This window comes from Homo sapiens, chromosome 8 (genome assembly GCF_000001405.40).
Source record: "Homo sapiens chromosome 8, GRCh38.p14 Primary Assembly".
Classification (NCBI taxonomy): Eukaryota; Metazoa; Chordata; class Mammalia; order Primates; family Hominidae; genus Homo; species Homo sapiens.
In genome coordinates, this window is record NC_000008.11 from 77,114,053 (window position 1) to 77,137,375 (window position 23,323).

The 23,323-nt window shown below is 34.3% G+C and overlaps 2 annotated features.

The window, feature by feature from the left end:
- Positions 4,781 to 4,840: a silencer, noted in NCBI's record as "silent region_19306". NCBI's record gives its function as "represses an Ori minimal core promoter by ATAC-STARR-seq in GM12878 lymphoblastoid cells {active_cell/tissue: GM12878}" and the evidence as "EXISTENCE:reporter gene assay evidence [ECO:0000049][PMID:35858748]".
- Positions 16,283 to 17,913: an enhancer, noted in NCBI's record as "VISTA enhancer hs742". NCBI's record gives its function as "enhancer in: hindbrain (rhombencephalon)[7/8] | forebrain[7/8] | eye[6/8]" and the evidence as "EXISTENCE:transgenic organism evidence [ECO:0001131][PMID:17130149]".

Consider the following 23,323-nt stretch of genomic DNA (forward strand, 5'->3'; position numbering starts at 1 on the left):
TTACTCTAAAAATTTCCATTGGTTTTCAACTGGATCGAGTATTTGATCCTATATAAAGCTCTTAATGCAGGTTTCCCTTTTTACCTTTACTTGTATGCGTTCTCCCCATCTCCACCTTCACATGTGCTATATGTACAGCACCACTGTTCTACTTCTTCCCTACACTTGCCTGGTGCCTTTCTACACAGTCTTCCTCTGCCTATGACCAATCTATCTATATTCTCTGTCTGGTCAACTCAGACCTGGTTCAAATGCCATTTTCTTGGTGATTTTTCTCAATAGCCAGATATTTTCTCAATTCTGCTACTGTAACAGTTTTAACATAATATTAGTAGAGCTGTTATCCTGTTGATTCTCTATCATTTGTTTACATGTCATTCTCCTGGTTAACTAGCACATTAGATTTTTGAGGCTATCAAAACCCTATCTTCTTTTTCCACTTTGCCTCTTTCATTTTACTATTGCTCACTAGTATGTGTGCAGTAAATGCTTGTTTAATATGAATAACTGAAGGAAAGAGGAAGGAAAAGTATTGTAAATGGTAAAAAGACTACCCAATTGTGGGTAAATATATTTGTAATATAAGATACAATTCTTCCTCACAAAGAAAATATCAGTGCACTTTATCTAATTTCTTTTTTGTTCCTTATTTGACAGAATTATATTTATTTTTTCCACTGTGGAAATTTTCATCAAAATTATAATGTTAAAATTAAAAAATAAATTTACTAATATGTTGAAATTATTCTATATTTTGAGTATAGTTTTTTACCAACATTCTTAATTAATTTATTATACACTTAAATACCCAGTGAAAGAGGTTTCATTGTACTGATTGAAACCATTCAAATGCAAACTAGGTGAAACATTGTTTTAAATGATTCAGGATGTGTGCTATGTATTTGCTAAAGATTTTTCATTTCCTTCACACTTTTAATCAAATAGATGATCCATGCTTTTTGTTGAAAGAAAAAAAAAAATCTTGTCTGTTCTCTGTATAGTCTACAATGAATCATGAGCATAATCTAAAAGTCTCGATGACATACTAATGGCATTCTAAAAATAGCTTCCAGAATTAAAAACTTTGGTTCTAAAGATCAAACAACACCCTTAAAGGTGGTTTGTTATTTCTTACAGCATTGTTTAAAATGATTCCTTTATTTTTCTGAATTAGCCCCACTTTTTTTCTTACTGACGTTTTGTCAGCAGGATTTTTTCTTGTCATTTCTATTTGCACTATACAGCATATACCAGCTTCATGACCTTTGCTCTCTTACTCTAGCATAAGAGTTCAACAAATGCAAACTCTAAGATTAGACAGGCAGCTGATAGATAATTATTAGCAGTCATAGAAGTTTCTTAATTTCATACTTATTTTTAAGCAGTCATAGTGTTGAATAATGAGAATTTCATACCAAATGAACTGGGTTTAAGAATCAACACTGGCACATCCTAGTGTTAATTTAATCTTTCTAAATCTCAGTTTCTTTATCTGTCAAATAGATGTTTCACAGAGTCTAATTAAATACAATGGTGTCTTTGATGGTGAAGCACTATGTAATCTAACTTTGTTTTTATTTTGCCCATTACAATAATATTAACAAGTTGTAGATTGTCATCCCTAATGAAGAGAAATATACATGTTTACTGTTTTCCTAATATATAACTTTTTAAAAGGAATATGGGATATATGGACTGAAAGACATGTCCAAATCTTATAACTAGTTCCACTGAGAAGTGATCCTATGGGAAAAACAATAAAGAATGAACTTATGCATCATTTCACATACTTCTACACATATTCAACAAACATTTATTGAAGAAATACCTTTGTGTTAAAATATTTTGAATGGGGTGGTCTGTAGAATACAAGGCTTTCAGAAACAGGTGAGTCCTTACCTTCTGGAAGTGTGCAGTTTGATAAATTGTTCATCATCTATTTATTGTTAGAATCATTAATTCAACATTTACCTTTTCTCAACCATCAATTTATCTGCCTTGCACTTGATTGAGTACTCAAGTTCAGTCAAATGACCAATACTTTTACTATATCTAAAATATGCTTTTTACTAAAGTGGAATAATTGTAAAACAATAATAATAGAGCTACAAGCATTAAGATAAAATATAATAGATGCCTCTCTGGTAAATTTGTAATACAGACGTTCTTTGAAGGGTTTCAAAATTTGGCAACAACTATTTTATATTTCTGTGACATCACAGTGTAAGGAAAAACTATGTACACTGTTTAGAAACATGTTTCTGTTGAGATTTGAGGCTAATAAAACCCACCCTTTATCTTTGTGAAAGTTGTCAAACAATTGAAACATGAGACATAAAAATCATATAGATGAGATCAGTATGTCAGTTTTATTTTTCCAAATTTGGGAAAACATGGCTTAAATCTGCAGGCAATTAGGTTTTCTAACACTTTCACTTTTGCATGTATCCACCCCAAACTGGATGCTTCTCTTCCTTCATTGTAAGTCCTCTAAGGGTAAATCCTGCCATTGTAGACCTGCTACAATTGAGAAGCAGATACTGGAGCATCCTGAGGACAGATTCTCAGAGGGGAGAAACATGGAAGGAACAGAATCATGCTGTCCCTGTTCCTTCTAAATTCACTAGTTAATGAATTCACCCCTTCCCCTTTAGAAATGAAGAGAAATCTGTCTGTCTTCTAACTTGAGGGGGAGGGGTTAAATGATTCCTCCTAACATTACCTTATAGTCGTTCATGCCCTGCCCTCAAGGGTGATTCATAAGGGATTTCGTTTAAAAAACAAAAATGTATTTGAACATTCTGAATCTTTTACGATTTAGATTTGTGCCACATGGTCTATGATGATGGGTTTAGTAGGCTTTAAAATCCAAAGTAGCCTTTAAAGTTTTTATTTAAAAAATTGCATTATTTCAAATGTGCAAAAACTTATAAAATATAATTAAACACTTTTATAGATGAGGAATTTAAGGTCCACAGAATCTAAGCCACTTGGTTGAAGACATACATAACCATTTCTCTACTAAACTGAGTCTTATTAATCGTTAGAGTCCCAGTGCCTAGCACAGTGTCCGGCACTCAACTATGTTTGTCGAATGAACGAATGAGTGGATGAATGCATAAATGAGGAGGCATAGTTTTAATACTGATTTTCTTCGTAACTTAGGTCTTTTTTTTATTATGTCCCTCTCTTTTTTTTTTTTTTTTTGCAGGCAAGAATGAAGACAGCCAGAATCTTCTCTGCACATGTGAGAAAGAACAGAAAATTCAGATAGATATTTCTCAAATAAGCCTTCAAGATTTATTACCACATGGTTAAAAACGTTACTTAACTAGCTATGATTACTAGTCAACAATAATTGTAATTGTGTTTTCCCACTTTTATTGAATTCATTAAGATTTATCCCCGTCTCTACTAAAAAAAAAAATACAAAAAATTAGCCGGGCGCGGTGGCGGGCGCCTGTAGTCCCAGCTACTCGGGAGGCTGAGGCAGGAGAATGGCGTGAACCCGGGAAGCGGAGCTTGCAGTGAGCCGAGATTGCGCCACTGCAGTCCGCAGTCCGGCCTGGGCGACAGAGAGAGACTCCGTCTCAAAAAAAAAAAAAAAAAAAAAAAAAAAAAAAAGATTTATCAATTGATAGTTTAAAAGTTGCCTATGGTCTTCTGAAAGAAATATTATTTAGACTTTATTGGACAATGAATTAATTCACTAGGGAATAAATTACTTGTAAATCAATAATTTAAAAACTTTTTAAAATTTCCAACTTCTACTTTAGAAATAACTTTTTAGTTACCCACAGAGAACCACGGAAACTTGTTTTCATAACCTTAGTTTTTTTAGGCAAGAACTCTGAAGGGTCTAAGATTTGATTGTACTTGCAAACTTACAAGGTAGCCTGCTGCAGTTCTTAGCATGATGGCAGAAGACCCGAGATTCCTAGGTTAGAGAAAAAGGACTTTTATTACTCATGGCCAGCAACTAGCATGGGCTTATTTGTATCACTTCTTGCCTATTCGTTTCAGGTCTCCCCTGGGACCCAGAGAGATGTTTACATAAGCAATGAATTATGTTACAGGAAAGGAATCTTGAGTTTAGGGAATCTAGATTTTTGTAACGTGCAGTACACATATCCTTTTTTTTACTCTGGAGAATGTATTATCTCTACTCCCTAAAGCTATAAGCACACTTGCACTGTACTCCAGGGGAAGATACTATTTCTGTCTTTCAAGGCTATTTGCTGTACAAGCATTGATGAGAGGATAATCTGAAACAAATGGTGTCACTGCCTCTCTAAGATGTGCAGAAATGTGACAGAGTCATAGAAAATTGTCTCTTAATAGTTTTCTGTTGATTTAAGGCAAAGTACATAAGTGAAAGGCCTCTAATATTTATTGAAAACCTAGGTCTATAAAACAGTATTAGATAATTAGACACTGTAGGATGCACTGTGATGAGAAAGCCACAGCCTAGGAGTTCAGGCATGTACACACACATATACTATAAACACAGTGGCATAAATGTTCCTTTTGAGGCAAGGTCACATAGCAGTTAATAGTCTGAGCTTGATGTCAAAGATGCTGGAATAGCTATAGCATAGTAGTTGAGAGTTGGGGCTAAACTCCTTGAGTTTAAATCTCAGCCCCACTGATTATCATTTGACACACGGTGTTTACCCTCTTTTGTTGTTCAGTTTCCTCATTGTTGGAATTTATATTAGTACCTACCTCATAGAGTAGTTGGGAGGATTAAGTGACTTACTATAGGAAAGAACCTAGAACAGTCTCCAAAGCATACTATCTGTTCAATAAAGGTTAGCTTTATAAAACCTAACTTCTTTTACTTTCTCATTGTAAACTTAAGTTACTTAACTTTCGCTCTGAGTCACATTTTCCTCACTTATAAAATGAGAGTGATAATATCTCATTGGTTGACTGTGAGTCATAAGTTAAAAATGTATTGAATGTGGTTAATAAAGACTTAAAAACTGTTAGCTGCTATTATTAATAGAGGAGCATATACTACACGTAATTCAAGGGATAGATCTGGATTTTTCTTTCTACCTTTTTAAATGTCTTTCACTTAGTCACAGCTGGGTAATAATGTAAGGTGGTGGGGGCAACCCGTACTATACAGTGAGACCTGCTTCTATTCTTGATTTTGTCACTAATTCATTTATTCCAAAAATGAATTGGCAAAAGATAAATAGGACAGAGTCCCTTGCCTTTAAAAATCTCACAGTAGTGGGTCAAGCCACTTTCATTCTTCTACATAGCTCCGAGGAAGCAAATGTGATCAGGAGGTGGTTTCTGACCTGGGTCATGAAAGATTAGTTGGGAGTTGGGACAATGTGAACAAAGGCACAGAGAGACCACAAAAAAAAAAAAAGAAAAAGAAAAAAAAAGCAGTCTGTTTTCAGAGAACAGTAACAAATTCAGTTTAGCCACCTTAGAGTCTGAAGGGGCAGGTTGGTTTGATCAATGGAAGCAGGGCAGGGAAGGATCTAAGTGCCAATTTCAGGGTTTTCAGGGTTTAACCTTAATTCCACAGGCCCTGTGAAACTATTAATGGTGCTGCCGCAGCTGCTAAGCTAAGCTGAGCCAAAAGCAGGACACTTAGAGAAAAATCAGATTCTCAGCCTGTTGAAACTGGAGATGCAACTGACCCAGCCTTTTTTGTTATATTAACAAGTGAGAAGTGCTCCCAACTTAATAAACATGGGAAGGAACCATCAATCACCACCGGAAGTCACCTAATCATCCCTAATTGCTATGATAGATAACACTACCTGAATAAGGCCCTAAAATATAAAGGCTAAACATTGATTTAGGGAAAAGACGAGCATTTGGGGTTAAAATTACACTCCGTGGTAGTAAGCATAAAGTGTGATCAAGAGTTTAGAAGGGAATTGCCTTGATGTTTATGGGAATGTTTTACCCCCCAGGCCACAAGGACCTGCAGTGATTCTATTTAGCTATTTAAGGTTAAAAATACTGCTCCGTGGGAGCTTACTTCTTAGCACATGAGACATTTGCTCAAATGTTTACATGGCTTTACAATATTTAGCAGAGTTAGATATTGAATTGCCAAGTATGTACATTTTATTGTAGTGCTGTTACATCAGTCCCCAAACTCTAGCATAAAATATTCTCATTAACTGCTATTACGTTCATCAAACACATAACTTCTCGGCAGGGCTCTAGCTCCCTAGGCAAGCCCATCATCAGCCCCCTTACTTCAAGCAAGTGCATAAGCACCAGCTGTCAAGGGCGCTTTCAATCCAGCTGTCAAGCCAGGTGTGGTAGGCGCTGTGCTGCGCTCTGATGTTAATGATGGATTAATTAAGGCGGTGTGTGTATTCATGCAGTGGAATCTGGAGAGCAGTTTGTGTACTGCTTTTGGCTGGAGTTCTACTGTAGTCCTCAGTGTATTCCTTGGGGGCCTTCTCTCAACTTGCCAACAGGTCTGTACACTGCATTCAAAAGCAAACAATCAGCTTATCTGAACTAAAAACAAAGAACTCCATGACTAATTCACCAAAGCTTGTGATCTTGACAGAGAAAGCACAGCACTTATTTGACAGATCCATAAAAAGAGGGGGAGGTGTTCTTTTCTCCTTACTTTTGCAGAGTAGACCAATCTGTAGGTATATTGCTTATGCTTCATAAACAAATGACATGTTGTGTTATTCAGAGCTCATCAGATAATAGGATTTTGCTACATTTAAATGTTTTCTAAAAATACATATTTTTTATATTTGTGCAGGATGGCAATAATAACAATATTATTGGCCTTTGCAGTTGCTCTTCCCCCCATATTAGTTGTCTTTTTTGTTACCAATACAATCTTTGACTTTTGACTACAGAGTTTTTATTTTTTATTTTCAACTTTTATTTAGGTTCAGGGGGTACATGTGCAGGTTTGTTACATGGGTAAATTGCATGTTGCGGAGTTTTGGTGTACAGATTATTTCATCACCCAGGTAATGAGCATTGGCGTTTTAAGTTACTACCTCTGTCTCACTCACCACTGGTGGTGTCCTATCTGTTAACACATTTCTTAGGGCTTGGGGTCCTAGTACCTATGGGCTCAAATGCTTTGATCCTGGTGTAGATTTCATTATATTTTGGTTGAGAAATGCAGGCTTTCTTTTTGTAGATGGAATAATAACGATGTTAGCAATAGTAATAATAATAGCTACAATTCATTAAGCACCTATTATGTGCTGAACTCTGTGTGGAATATGTACCTAATCTTACAAGCACATTAGCATAAATGATCATATTTATTCATGCATTTCAGAGAAGAAGTTAAAGTTTGGAGAAATTAAATAATTTTCCCAGAGTTGTGTAACTCATAATGAAGAATGGAATACATTTGGAGGGAATAGATATTGAAGAATCATTAGGGATTCATCAGGGAGAAAAACAGGGTACCTGTCAGGAAGCAAACCTAGGAGGTGAATAGCCTGGAGGCTGATAAGCACAATGCCTATTAGGAAACAATAAGAACCTGGCATTGCTGCAGCACACAAACCTAGAATAGAGAGATAGGATTGGGGAGGACAGAGAAAATGTCATGGTAAGGTGTTTGAACTGGACTTTATTCTCTTCACAGAGAAGAACGGGTGAAAAGGTATGATCAATTTCGCTTTTTGAACAATAATGACAATGAGAATGCATTGAGGTGAGAGCGTCTGGTAAGAGAATGCCGTTAAGAAATTATACCATTGATGTATACTCTACACCAGTGACAGAAAGTAAAGCAGAAAGGTGAGCTTTGCATATTCATTGCACTGCAGTCTGCTCTAGGAAGCTGTTAGACTAGAAAAATGTCAGACAACTGAACACACCACTACTTGCCTCTTCATAAAACAGCTAACGTCTGAGTGACTAATGCATGCCAGGCCCTGTTTTAAGTACATTAGGGATATTAACTCATTTGGTCCTCCCAACAAGCCTGTGAGGTACACATAGTAAAATGGAGGGACCAGGTGATGAATCCACAGAGGTTGCTTTTCAGGTTTGCTATCTTGACAACAGAATGAGGTGGTATTTTAGGAAGATATTTTATTTTATATTATTTTATTAGTTTTATTATTATGATAATTAGCTATTGTAGTTTATCACTCAGGAACATTTATGATGCTCTTTACATCAATTATATGTATATATATAAAATTGTCAATAACAAGGTGTTTTGCTTGAGAACTCTCTGAAGAGGTTTTGAAGAATTCCTGGGACAGCGTTTTTTTGTTGAAGTTTAACATTTAGGTAATGACAATTAGATCATATTATATCTCGATATCAAGGAAATATTTTATATACTACCTCCCAAGTTCTCGCCAGAAAAATAAATTCTCAATGGCTTGAATGTGCACTACTGTCAAATGGATTTAAAACACAGTGAAGGGACCCTAAGCAAAGGGTAATGATAGCAATAATAATGATAAATGGCAATGCACTGAGTTAGGACCAGGGTGCACACTTGGCTGCTTTTATTTAAGATGTCTTGGTAATGTTAAAGCCGCAAAAAGCATTAATAAATGAGTATGTAGGGTTATAATCTGAAATCTTGTTGCAGAAATCTTGGTCCTTGCTGAATGTAATTATATGTTGCTATTGTTATTTAATTAAAGATTTAAAAATAACATCAATTAGCCTGCAGGATATATCAAGTATCACAGATATTTCAAGAACCTTCATTGGTTATTTATTGTTATGCAAACCAGGACTACTAAACTGCCAGAGTGAACAAACTCTAAGTTTTCAAGGTGAAGGAAAAAAAGAAATGGAAATGGACTTTAGTTCCAGCTAACGATGTTAATTTTTTTTTTTGCAACATATAGATTTCCCAGATACAATTACAAGGATTTAAACCTACAACCTATGTTAACCAGCTTGTGCATAACTTAAAATAGTAATAACAGACACATAAAAGTGAATTTAAAAATGAAAATGTACCTATTTTTTAAAGAGATTATAAAATAAAATTAATGCGTATATGCAAATTTTCTTTGCTATGACTTCATAATTTGTAATGGTATTCAGCTTGACAATGTTTACACTTGTTAATGACTTCCTTTATGAGTGATAATTGATCTACTTCATTATCATATTAAATCCTTGATCATATGCCATTAGGTTTGATGTAATAAATGATCTGTGTGATTTTTAGTGTAATGAACTAATTAGACTAATTAAAATCAATATGTGTGCCAATATTATACTTTGAATCCAAATGCTCCCTCTAACTGTGCTGGCTTAAAATCAGCAACTCAGTAAAAAGGATCTAATGCTGATTTATGAGCACTTGAGGAACATGAGGCAGAATAAATTGCTTGTGGTAGTAGAGACAGCATTAGTGAAGTATAAGATACTAAGTGCATTGTAAGGTCAGCAATAAGGGTGTACTTACACATGTAGTTATATGGCACCTTAAACCTCCTCTTAATATATCATAACATCCTAGCAAAATTATTTGGTTTAAATGCCAGCTTTTTTAGTCTACTCTTTTTTATAAATAACGTTGCAAAAATGCAAGTATTCCAGTTGTGTAATCAGTCTACAACTCTAATGAAAATACACATATGAAGTTTGATAAATGTTTTTAAATAATTGATTTATATTCTGTAAGAGTAACGAAAACACATTCCAAAGAAAAGATTACATAAGATCAATGTGTAATTCTAGAACTTTAAATCATTCATTGTTCATTCAGAAATCTGTAGAAATTATAAATGATAATTTTGGAGAATCAATAAATTCTTCAAAACTAAGTTAAATTATTTCTTAGAAGAAGCCTTGCCTAAGTCAATAACAGATCTCCAACTTATGTTTCCCTTTTCTATTTCCCAAAATTTTAATTGTATGATAGATTGATTAATGGTTATTGAATTTCTAGAGTATAAACTCCACAAGGGCAGAGAACCCACCTCTGATTCTTCCCTATGTAGGTTTAACATAGTGCCTTGTACACAGAAGGCAAAATAGGTTTTATTTAATTTTCTTTTAAATATATGTAATTTAATTTGCTGTTTCAAAAGTTTAAGCAAATCTTATTTTAACGGAAACTAAATACCATACCTCATAAGTCAATAAGTAGCTACATAAAAGTTTAAAATCAGATAGCCATATTTTTCTACAGAGCCTGGCACATGTCTTTTGTATTTAATTCCCTCGAGAGCCGGTGGAAGTTGTAGTCACAAAAGGGAGTCGAACTGGAACGTGGAACTTTGGATTGAATGATTCTAGGCCAGATCAAAGGTTACTCAGTTTTTCTTTCTTACTGATATAAGGGTTTATATCTATGCTAGCAAATGGAGACAGTAAATAATGTCTTTGGATAATTTCCTGGCAGGTTTGTTTTACCTGTGTCTTCTAATGATTCAAATATAGGTAAGCATTTACTGTGAGCAGTTGATTTATCTTTGGGAGAGTAATCTCTAGTGATTTGACTGTGAGGCAACGTAAAAGAGATTCTCAAGGCATTTTCTCCAGTCCACTCAGAGCTTTGTTTCTCCCATTTTTTTTTCCTTCACATGCCCCATAGCTTCAGCTCATCACTCATTTAAACATATACACATATTAGTTGAGAATTTATGGAAGCATTATAGGTTCTCAGACAGAGCACAAGTTTCCTGGTCCTAAGCCATTTCTCATCTAGGAAGAAAGGTAAGACATGTACATACATAGTTCTAATCTAAAGTGATATGTGGTAAATCTTGGAAAGAGCTTCAAATAATTTGCTAATAGAAATTTAAAGATCAGCTGATGATTTCTGGCAGTGTGATTTGGGAAAGCTTTGTAATAAAGGTAGCATTCAAACTGAACTTTGATGGCTGAAATGAATTTTCTCAGTCTGGGATGGAAAGTGACCACTCTGGAGAGAATGAAACACATAATCTTCCTATTCTTAAATAAGGTGAACTATCGTAATCCAGACTAACTAGATGGGTAAGGGCAGCAGTCTAAATGAGCGCAAAGATGAATTATAGATTAGCCCTTCCTACTGTTTTCAAGTACTTGAAATAACTGTCAATTTTATAAATAAAGTGGTATCTAACAGAGATCCTAAGTAATTTTTACAGGTAAGATATAAGTATTATGACAGGTTGTTAAGAACTTCTAACATATAATGAGAATCTTATGAAATACCTTTTTAAGCTATAAATTCTAATTTTTTATCACATAGGAAACCTGTAGGCCTGGTGCGGTGGCTCACGCCTGTAATCCCAGCACTTTGGGAGGCCGAGGTGGACAGATCACAAGGTCAGGAGTTCGAGACCAGCCTGGCCAACATGGTGAAACTCTGTCTCTACTAAAAATACAAAAATTAGCCAGGCGTGGTGGCAGGTGCCTGTAATCCCAGCTACTTGGGAGGCTGAGGCAGGAGAATTGCTTGAATTTGGGAGGCGGAGGTTGCAGCAAGCCAAGATCGCACCACTGCACTCCAGCCTGGGCGAAAGAGTGAAAGTCTGTCTAAAAAAAAAAAAAAAAATAGAAAAGTGCAGTTGACTAGATTTCCCTGGCAGTAGAGAGCGAAGATGAATGATATCAATGGAAACATTAAAAGGAGTGTTCTAAAGATGCTCTCAAATCTTAGGCAAAACTCCAGTGCATAACATGGGTAAGCATGGACATCCTCTCATTGAAACTAGGATCGATCCATTCTTTTGCCCTTCTTCCCATTCCCTGAAACAACCCACAAGCTGCTTATTCGTCTGCTTAACACAGGTGGAAAAAACATGTATAAGTAGTACCATTTAACATTATGACATATGGGTTTGTCTCAAAGCACTGCTGCTCCAGAGTGACCACTCAGAAATGTTGTCTATTATTACTGTTGTGATTCTCCTCACTTGGAGACTCAGGAGACTGGAAGTCTCAGTTCTGACATAGTTGGGCTTTGTGATTTTATGACAATAGCTTGACCTGACAAGGTCTCAGCATCCTCATGTTTAAATTAGTGGGTTTTGAGCTAAGTAATAAAGTTTTTCCCAGTGATGTCATATTATTCTTCTAGTAATAATAGTGTTTTAACCCTCCCAGAGATAATTTGAATTTTTAAAGCATTATTATTTTTTAAGAAAGAATAATCCCATGGTGGAATTGAGACAGCGTGACAAATGAAGTAAAAGTATTCAGGTATTTAGGGGAAGAGTATTTTGGTTCAGGGGCCCCTGCATAGGCAGACTAGCTCTGTCTAAAATCATCCTTCTTAGAATTAGACAATGTTTCTTTGCCCTATTTAATAACCGTCACAAGTTCCCTAAATTGCCTCTCTTCCTGTTCCTATTTATCTGTATCTATTCTCCTCTCTCTGTTTGTATCTGCCTTTCTCTTGCCCTCCTCATTTGTCTCTTCACCGGTGAGGTCCTAGGCTACAGAGGAAAGACAGGTATAAGCAAGAAGTTACACTTAATCTGACAATATTTAGCTTATTTTTCTAAATAGGCATGTTTTCTAATCTAATGTATTTTTCTGATAGCAAATCTATCAAGTATATGCACTATTAAATCTGCAGGAAACAGAGGCTACATTATTTCTGCTTAAATATTTAATGCCTGCACTGTGAATCATTTCACAATTGTTCACTAAAAATCCCTGGTTCATTTCTCTGGTTCATCTAGATGTCTTTGACTTGCATGATGGTTGCCGAGAAAAAATAGATGATTGAGTGTTTTGCTTCTTTGAGGCTAATCTCTATCATTTGATTGTAATAAATGAAAACAGGCATAATTGATTTTTAAAAAGACAGTAACACTGTTACACTTCGCTGGTGGACTTTCATGTGCATTCTGCAGGCAGATGGTGTTAAATTAGAAAGAGGATTGGGCTTGGTTGCAACTTTGGGATGGCCTCGGCTCTTCTACTTGTTAATTGTATGATGGAGAACAACTCGCTAAAAAGTGAGGATGATAGTATCTTCTGTCATTCATTTGAAGCATTTTAAAGATTGCATGAAATACTGCATGTGAATGCAATTCAGAAACTTATAATGGTTCATAAACTCATAAGGATTTGATCATTGTATTAGTCGATTTTCACACTGCTATGAAGAACTACCCGAGGCTGGGTAATTTATGAAGAAAAGATGTTTGACTCACAGTTCCACAGGCTTAACAGGAAGCATGACTGGGAGGCCTCAGGAAACTTACAATCATGGCAAAAGGCAACAGGAAGCAAGCACCTTCACATAGTGGCAGGAGAGAGAGAGAGCAAGCAAAGGGGGAAGTGCTACACATCTTTAAACAACCAGATCTCATGAGAACACACTCACTATCATGAGAATAGCAAGGGGGAAATCTGTCCCCCTGATCCAGTCACCTCCCTCAAGGTCCCTCCTTGACACATGGGGATTACAATTTGACATGAGATTTGGGTGGGAACATACAGCCAAACCATATCAATCATGAATTCTTACTATGCATACAACTAGAAAATTTCACCTGCATATTTAAATATGTTGAACAAAATACAGATGTTATGTATGTAGGACAGGAAAAATAAAAGCTGAAAACTGCGATCTGTGGAATGGGTATAAAGAATAAGCCCTGGTCTGTAAGAGAGAGTTGAGTAACAAAAAAGCAACCACAACAGGAGTTTCCAAGAAAAGTATATTTTTTCTTATTTCTGATTGTTATTAAATGGTATGACTTGAGTTTGCTATATGTTTGTACATTTAAAAATGTTTAATATTTTAATATCTAATGGCACTTATGCCCAAAATGACCCTTATGAATTATTATAAGTCAAGATTAAAAGACAGAAAATTACTACACTCTCACAGTGAAAACAAAACCATACAAATATATATACACATGCATATACTTTAATTTTGAATGGGCAAGAGTTATTTTTACTTTTATTCCAACAAAAATATTCAAATATTTTTTGTCCCTGTCCGTTTCATTTAAAATTATCTTATTTTTCAGTATTGGAACTTCTGTGGAAGTCAAGGGACACTTCAATATTATACCATGTGCATCTTTAATATGTCATTTTAATCTCGAGGTAGTTTAAATTAAAATATTTTCCAGTTGAACACATATTTTGGATTTAATAGCATGCTAGTATTGTTACTTTCAAAGAGACATTTTACAAAAAGGAGCATTCAAACCACAAGCATTTTACTTGTTTAATATATTGTCTGTGCATTTTAGGGGCAGATTTATTTTTGATGGGTTATTGTACTTATTTTAATTCAGTTATCTTTTTTGTCCTCTTTTTGTATGCTAAGTGATATTTTGTGAATCTCTGAAACAAATTGATTTTCAAGTATATTGAGTCATATAGCTTTCAAAACTCTTTCTTGATGGCGCCCTTGTAGGACCTGACCTACCTGTGTCCTGTGTCCATGAGACTTCATCCTGTCTCTTTTCTAACAAATATAAACAACATTCGTACTTCTTTACCTGTCTCTTCATATTAGATTCCAAGTTTCTTGAAAGCAGGGCTATATCTCATTTCACTATTCTTGGTATCTAGACTTGTGCCTGACATTTGATAGTTAATCAAATGATATTTTTGGAAAATAATAAAATGTGAAATAACATATAACACATTTTATTTAGATTGCTTCCAGAAAAACATGAGCTGAAAAAAGAATTCCAGCTTTCTGAGCTTAAACCTATATCTAATAAGTATCAAATTCTTCATGTGTGTTAGTTATAGTATGTTCATATGTTGACTCTAGTGTATCTGTAACACACTTCTTGATTCTTTATATATAAAAAGTCACTGAATATGTGTTAACATATTTCTCAGGGCTATTGTAAAAATCAAAGAAGAATCTCTCAGAAAGTACTTTGTAAATAGTAAATTGCTGTAGAAATGTAGTAATAAGTAGAATAAATTAGTAGAAGTAGTAGTAGTCATAGTTGTCACTGTTCCATTAATGGTACTGGCTTGTTTTAGTGAGATGTTCAATGCTCAAACATTCCAGGCTTGTTATCTCACCATGCAACCTCTTATTTACTCTCGCTTTTATATCTGGAATGCTTACTTATCCCCTCCTGTATAATCTTCTCTGTAGTTTTAACCAAAGTTGCATCAAGTCTCTTCATGGCATCCTTTAGCGGTGACTTCACAAGATATTGGTCATCTGACACTAATGTTTTTGACACATAGTACTTACTTACCCATTTTCAGATAGTAACATACTGAACTTTTGTTTCAGTATTGTTGGAATCATTAATTAAGCTACGGTGCACATATCATGCTTAGGCACATGAAGCAAAGTAGGGCAGGTGAACTTCTGCATTCCTAGAAGAAATTATTTGAGCTGATTCATCTTAGTGTCTTAGTTTGCCCATTGTTCTTGCCACCCCATTCCTTAAGCTGTCCCTGTCTTTTCCAATCCAGTCCTTCTGCTTTTGAAAAATATTTACTATAAACCATTTCATACTTTTCTGATAAATCTCCTCTTAGTGTAAGTTAATTTTGGCTATGCAGGACAGAAAAGCACTAATGGATATCTTCATAGTATAGTTAACTTTGGTTAGGGATGACAGAAGAACCCTAATGATACATGGTCCATATATGTATATTATGTTTCTTTTTTCCTAATTAGAATGAGTAGTTAGTACTTGAGTAATTTTTAATTCCTTTTGAATGTTCAAAATATTTTACACTGTACTTTTCAGTATGTGTACATACTTATGAAATGCTGAATAAATAATTTATCACTAAATAATGTCCGATTGAAGTAGAAATAGCAGAAACATACACTTTAAATTTTATGGCATATTTCCTGTGGCATTTAAGTTATAATATCCACCTGCATTCATGCTGTTAAAGAGAATGACTCAAAATTGAAAAGGGATTACTTTCACACTTCTACCCTTTCCATGTTTAATAGCAATCAGCAACACAAAATTGTTTTCTTATCTCAAAACTAAGTGTTAGGGATTTATGGTCCAGTCCTCTTGAGTTTAGAAGGAGCTTGCGTTTCTAAGTAATTCATAATAAGATCACTAATTGTTTAGTCACAAGATTAACACAACATTCAGGCCAAAATTCTGAAGCTGGTTTCTAACCAAAATGATATTCAGTTGCAAATTTATTGTCCAATCAGACTTTAGTTTTGATACTTTTCATGGATAATCCTTTGTTACCTCTTTTTGGTGACCACATGTATGTGTATGAGGATAGAGGGAAACATAAATTGTCATTTCAAAAATTATGTTCATAAATTATGAACAACAGAAGACACCAGGAAAAATAATAATTTCACCCCTAGGTATGATTTCTAGAAACAAAGTGGATATTTTGTCTAAAGGTTAAATGGGCAATATTTTGTGGCTTTTTAAATTACCTGATTTGGGAATGTTAAAATATTCTTTTCTGTTGAAAAACATATGTGAAAATATGCCTCTCAACTTATGTGAACTTAGTGAAAACGTTCAGTGATTTTGTTTGTTGCCAATGCTGTTTTTCTACTTGTATTGAATTATAGCCATATTGTGTTTATTTATGTTATGATGATTAGTATCATTATTTTAAATTTGTGTCTCTCTGCTTGCAGACTTCCTCTTGATTGGTACAGTATGACAACAGGTAATAGATACAATAGCACTAAAACAGTCATCATCGCTGCTGGGATGAGAAACCCCTCCTCTTTGCTTTTTTTAACCTTCCTCAGCTGGAAAGTTTTGACATCTGCTGGTTTGGGACATGGCTGAGCAGCTGTCAGCAGTAGGGTAGCTGCTTTCAGCAGCAGTTGGCGGGATGGCAGGGTGCCAGCTTGTACCATCTGTGCGCCTGACATTTCATTCTAATTAACAGTAGGGTTAATTGTTCTGGCAGGCTCAAATGTAGTGTCTAACATTACCCAAGGGAAACATGTACAAGTGCAGGAGTGGCAGGGAGCTGGGGACAAGCATCGCTAACAAAACCATCGAGGGAGAGTGGTTAACAACTAGCGGTGATTTTACTAGCTGGCCACTTGCAATAAGGCTAAGGTATTTTTTATTCTGATGAATTATGCCAAGCCTGTAATGATATAGAAGGAATCAAGCTTAGAAAGGCTGAGACTGCTGCCTTAGGGCAATTGTGAGGGAACAATTTGCATGTTATTACTGCATATTCATACCTAATTGTGTTAGGCTTTGCTAATAGAGCAGAATGACAGTATGAAAAATCGAGCAACTGCTTTAGAGGCAACAAAGCCAATATTTTTTTCTTCCTACACTATGAGTGCTGAATGATCATTTAGACATTTAGTTGCTCAATATGACAAGTCCACCATTTGTTAGCTTGACATATTATAATTTATAAAGGAGTATTCTAATTTTACTTTTAGTTTATTCTTCTCATTTTATACAATATTCATGATAGCAATTTGAATGGGGATATTCATAGCTATTGTGAGTAGCTGTGATTTAAATAAAACTATATTTGGTATGAAATATTACCATTGTTTTATGATGTATTAATTTTAATGTTTAAATAGCTTTTTCATATGTTAATATAACATAAACCAAGAGTTGATGAGAAATCCTTATTATAGTGGTGCTCACTCACATTGCTATAGTTAATGTCTCAACATTTCCATTATATGAAGACCTATTTTTAGTGTGGCTTGGACAAAGAAATTGTCATGGGGTGCAAAGCCAAAATCTGCTGTTTTAGAAAAGTGACTACAGATTCATTGAACTGAGTATCCGATTCCATCTCCTAAGCAGATAATATTCTTAAGAAATTTTAAGCCCAGTAGTACATTTTTTATGTTAGCCCACAATGCCTTTTAAAATCTTTTTATGGAAGCTCAGAGAAGACAAGGAATTAGAAAATTTAACTTTAGAAGACTACATTTTAAAACTGGTAACATATATCTTCCATCTAATTTTCTTTCTTTTCTGATTTATAAGGCCATAGTTATATCTTTGATTTGTTCCAATTTGGCATTTGAATATGAATTTATTTCAAATTATGAGCTAACTTGCATTTTAGCTTGCTTGCTCTGAGTGTCCAAAAAAGTAGTAGATTAAATGAATGAATTGGAAAAAGAGTTTCAGTAGCTTTTCTGGTTAAATCATAATAAAAGTTTTACATTTATTTCCTATATTTTCTATTTTTTTCAGTGTCTAACATATTTATCTAACAACTTATTCTAAATATTTATTATGTATAATATTCAAAGTAAGTTAAAACTTTGCCCCATTTTAGTTTGCTTTGTGATTTTTCTTCTTGTTCTCCTTTTTTTGTTTTTTTGCTTAAAACACAACTACTTTCAAAAATAAAATGTGGTTGGTTAAATAATATATACTATAAAATCTTTTCTAACTTGGAATTAAATTTCAAACCATGGAATTATATAAAGACTACATATTTACAGCTTAATTATGCAGTAAAATATTAAAGAACTGTAATTCAAACATCATATGATATGGCTTGGTTAATTTATGAGACTAAAATGTTGGCTATTCGTTAGTAATTTCATGGCTTTGGACATAGAAATTTTGTTTCCCACATAAGATATGTTCTATATTTGTATATTTCTGAGTTACAGGGCAAATAGAGACTTCTCTTATGTATATGAGTCATCTCTGCCAATGATATACTTTATTACATTTAGTGTGTTTTGTCAAGTTTTATATATATTTTAAAAGGGTGCGGGTTAAAACATCATTTTGTAACCTTATTCCGATAGATCATGAAACTTTAAGCAATTATAGAACTTTTAAGTTGAAATCCTAGCATAATAATTTTCCTAAAATAAACACCTAACTGTTCTTCCCAAAGATATCAGGTTACATTACACTGTTTTTTTTTTCTAATCCTTATTTTTGAAGGGTAAAAAGCAAAACATTACACAACAAAACAAAATACCAAAATAAAAACCTAGCGCCTGAGTTTAACTTGTTATACATGGTTCTGTGCTGTAGCAGAATGTGTTTCTGGGCCACATGACAGAGAGATAGAGGTAACCTTGCAGTATTTTTTGGCATATCCCTTCTGCACCAGTCTCACTTGAGGGGCTGGTTACTTATTACCTTCTAAATCGAAACATTTAACTGCTGGGAATTCTTGACTATAAGGGAGTGAGATATTTTATATGTTAAAAAAGAAACAAAAGAAAGAAACTTGAGTTAGAATGAATTTTCTTTCCATAAATTAATAAACTCCAAATGTAACCTATATAGTTAGATTTTTAAAGTAAATCAACAGTGTAAAAGTAACATTATTTTGGTGAATATCATTTTTGTGAAGCAAAGTTCTTTGCTTTGAGCGCATTATCTTTTTTTTTTTTTTTTTTTTTTTTTTGAGACAGTGTCTCACACCATCACCCAAAGCCGGAGTGCAGTGGTGCAATCTCGGCTCACTGCAGCCTCCACCTCCTAGATTCAAGCAATCATCCTGTCTCAGCCTCCTGAGTAGCTGGAATTACAGGTGTGCACCACCATGCCTGGCTAATGTTTTGTATTTTTAGTAAAGATGGGGTTTCGCCACGTTGGCCAGGCTGGTCTTGAACTCATGATCTCTAGTGATCCACCTGCCTTGGCCTCTCAAAGTGCTGGGATTACAGACTGAGCCACCATGCCTGGCCTAGTGAATTATCTTTATCTCCATTTTATAACTGAGTCTTCCAAGTGAAAATGCATGGAACCATTTAATTAAAGAAAGAAAATTACTCATCTAAAAACAATAAATGCACCTCTTCTTGATGTTTGAACCAAATTTTTGATCTAGTCCTCAAGTGTACTTCATCATCATATTTATCATTATTGTCAATTTCCAGAACTTCTATTACTTGCTTCCCTTCCCGATTTTACCTGCCGGCTACTGTGCAAGCAAACACTCAACGGATATTGTTCCCATATCTCAACTTTCAAGGACATTACAATGACATAAAAATATTTGCTGAATGATTATCACGTTTCAGAAATGCTTCTAAAATTTGCATGTGTTACTTCATTTAACCCTTACAACAATTAAATAAAGTATTTGTCTTTACTATCTGCATTTCTCACAGGTGGAAACTGAGACTTAGAGAGCAACAGTGACTTGCCTGTTATCATTCAGTTAGTTAATGAGGAGCCAGAAGTGCATCTGGAGCTAGTTCTTTAATCAAAGTAATAGACACACTATCAAAATACAATACTTAGAAAGACATGAATACATGAGAAATAAACGTATATAGTTTACCTATAATGTTAAAAGCATATTTGTAGAGATAATGGAGTCTTAGGAATCATTTGTTCAGAAACTAAGAATTTTCAAAACCAAAGTTTTATACTTGATACAGCATGTCCAAGGTTTGAGAATGCACAAAGAGATTACTCTGGGTGTTCTTTTAGAAAAGGCCTAGGCATTGTCTAATGGAATGTCTGGGATTATTTGATTGTAAAGGAGTGTTCACATTTGATTAACTTTTTATTGACTAAGCTATTTTACAACTCAGTAGGGGTAGACGTCAGCCTGTAGAAAACAAATAGCAATGCAAATGATTTTTGTCCATAGCAAGGCAAACAAATTTTGTTGAGTAGAGAAACAATTGATTTTCATCCCATAAAAATATAACCCCAAATATCACATTTTTATTGCCAAACATGAAAACACCACATTTTAAAAAATTTCATATTAAGTTTTGCATCCATTGGCAAACTCATTTTTAGTATTATTGACTGCCAATATATATGCGTCTTTAAAGTTCTTTTTTGAACCAGTCTTAACATCTTATTGGATTCCTCATTAATTAAAAGGTAGAATGAAATCTTTGGCACATGATCATTTATTATTTGCTTGGGGGTTATGCTTATAACTTTTTGAAAATTATACTTTGCTAAGCATTATAAGGTTAAAACAAAAGAAAAAAGGTCAAAAGCAAGGTGACTAAATTTTATTGTGTGCCTGCTATGAGTCCAGGATTTGGCTAAATCCTTTCATACCAGAGCTATGTTAATTTTTACCATAACTCTATGTGGTACCTATTAATTTCATCACTTACAAATGATGGGACAAAGACTGAGAATGACTAAATAATAACTCCAGTGTCCTGTGCTCTAAGTAGTAAGTGGGAGAAGAGAGGATTTGAATCTACATCTGTCTTACTCCACAGAGAAATTCCTGTATATTCTCTAGGCTCAGGACACCACATAAAAGAAAACAAAAAGCTGAAATCAATGATTAGTATATGATGACTAGCCCAGGGTAAAGATGCTCTTTTACAGTGAAAGGTAGGTAAGTAACAAGATGTCTGATGTGTTTATTAAAAATAGCCACTGATAATGATGATACTGCTCTTTTAAAGGACAACACTGGAAAGTAACCTGGATATTCCAGAGTTCAAACTCCCTTCTATCATTATTGTCTTCACTATTCCTTCATTTGCATAGAGTGTACTCTTCTTTGTCTCGAGAGTTTTCAGCTAAAGTTGTCTAGAATTAACTCTTGTAAATTCTATCTAAAAATCTGAAGGAGGAGCCTCTTTTAGGCAAAAGTTATCTGAAATTTTTTAAAAATATGAACTTTATTATAAAGTAAATCATATTCCTGTAGCATAGTAAAAAGAGAGAGAGCTGGTCGCTGACAGATCTGCACTGGAATTTCAGTTTTGACACCTATGATCTGTGTGAACATGGACAAGTCATTTAAAAATTTCAACCTTAATCACCCCACTTGAAAAGTTGATATGAAAAATCTTATTTGGATTTGAGATGAACTGGGTAATAAAGAACATATAATTATGACAAATATATAGAAGCCATTTAATAAACAGAAGTTTGAAGTAACATCTGGCCTTCAGAGAAGGCATCATTGTATAATTGTTTCCTTTTTTTGTAAAATTTCAAAAGTTTGGCAAAAACGTCTTTGGACAAAGAGATACATAATTATACTTTTGTCATATTAGTTAAACATTTTTGTTTTATTTGGGAAACTACGCTTAACCCAATTTCTGGTTTCCGTATATGGAAATACAAGCCTACATAATTCTAAAAAGAGACATTTGTATTTATTTAAAATTACAAATTATATTATGTGCCTCTTAGTTCCCAAATATTTCCCAAGTTTTAGCAATTTTTTTCTTCAAAGCTAATTTAACTGATAGTATCTAATACTTATATAATATATTTCCTATTGCAAATATTTTAGTTCCAGGAAAGAGAAATTCTACTGAAAATTTATGATCACTTTTCTGCAAAATATTAGTTATATTTACAATGATACTTTTAGTAGGTAATACATAGGTATACATATAGGCTAATATTATGTAGGTGCATATTTCATTTAGTTATTTTCATTTTAAAAATGATTACCTGACTGAATAGTATTCCGTTGTGTATATATACCACATTTTCTTTATCCACTCATCCACTGATGGACACTTAGGTTAATTACATATATAGGCTATTGTGAATAGTGTCACAATAAACATGAGGGTGTAGGTACACCCTTTGATGTACTGATTTTTTTTTTTTTTTTTTGATAAATACCCAGCAGTGGGATTGCTATATGCTGTGTTAGATCTATTTTTAGTTTTTTGAGAGATCTCTGTACTGTTTTCCATAGTTGCTATACTAATTTAGAAGAAAGGAACAAGTTCCAATGTTTGATAGCAGAGTAAGATACCTATAGTTAACAACGTTTTGCATATTTCAAAATAGCTAGAAGAAAAAACTTAAAATGTTCCCCACATATAGAAATGATGAATATTCAAGGTGATGTATGCCTTAAATACACTATTTGATCATAACACATTTTATTCATGTAAAAAAAATCATACATACTCCATAAATATGTATAAATATTATCTATCAATAAAAATAAAAACAAAAAGAAAAATTTTGAAAAGCATACATTTTTTATAGTTTAACATGAGCTTACAAAAGATTTTGACTACCTAATGTCTTCCTAAAAGAACAGAAAATGCTCACTTTTGAACAGTCCATTAATTCATATTCGATACACAAAATGACAAACTTAAGCACAGGCAGTGCTGTGGTTTGAATGCTTATTGCCTCCAAAACTCATGTTGAACCTGGTTGCCCGTGTGTGTATGTTGGGATGTGGGATCTTTGGGAGGTGACTGGGCCATGAGGGCTTTGCCAGTATGCGTGCGATTAATGCTGTTACAAAGGGCGGGTTTGGACCCCATTTGTCTCTTTGCCCTTCTGCCTTCCACTGTGTGATGACGCAGCAAGTAGACCCTTGCCAGATGCAAGCACCTTTATCTTAGGCTTCCCAGCCTCCAGACTCATAAGAAAATAAATTTCTGTTCATTATAAACCATCCAGTCTCAAGGATTCTGTTAGAGCTGCGCAAAATGAACTAAGCCATGTGGGTTCTGCCTGCAGAATGTGAGGAAGTGGAGGGATGCATT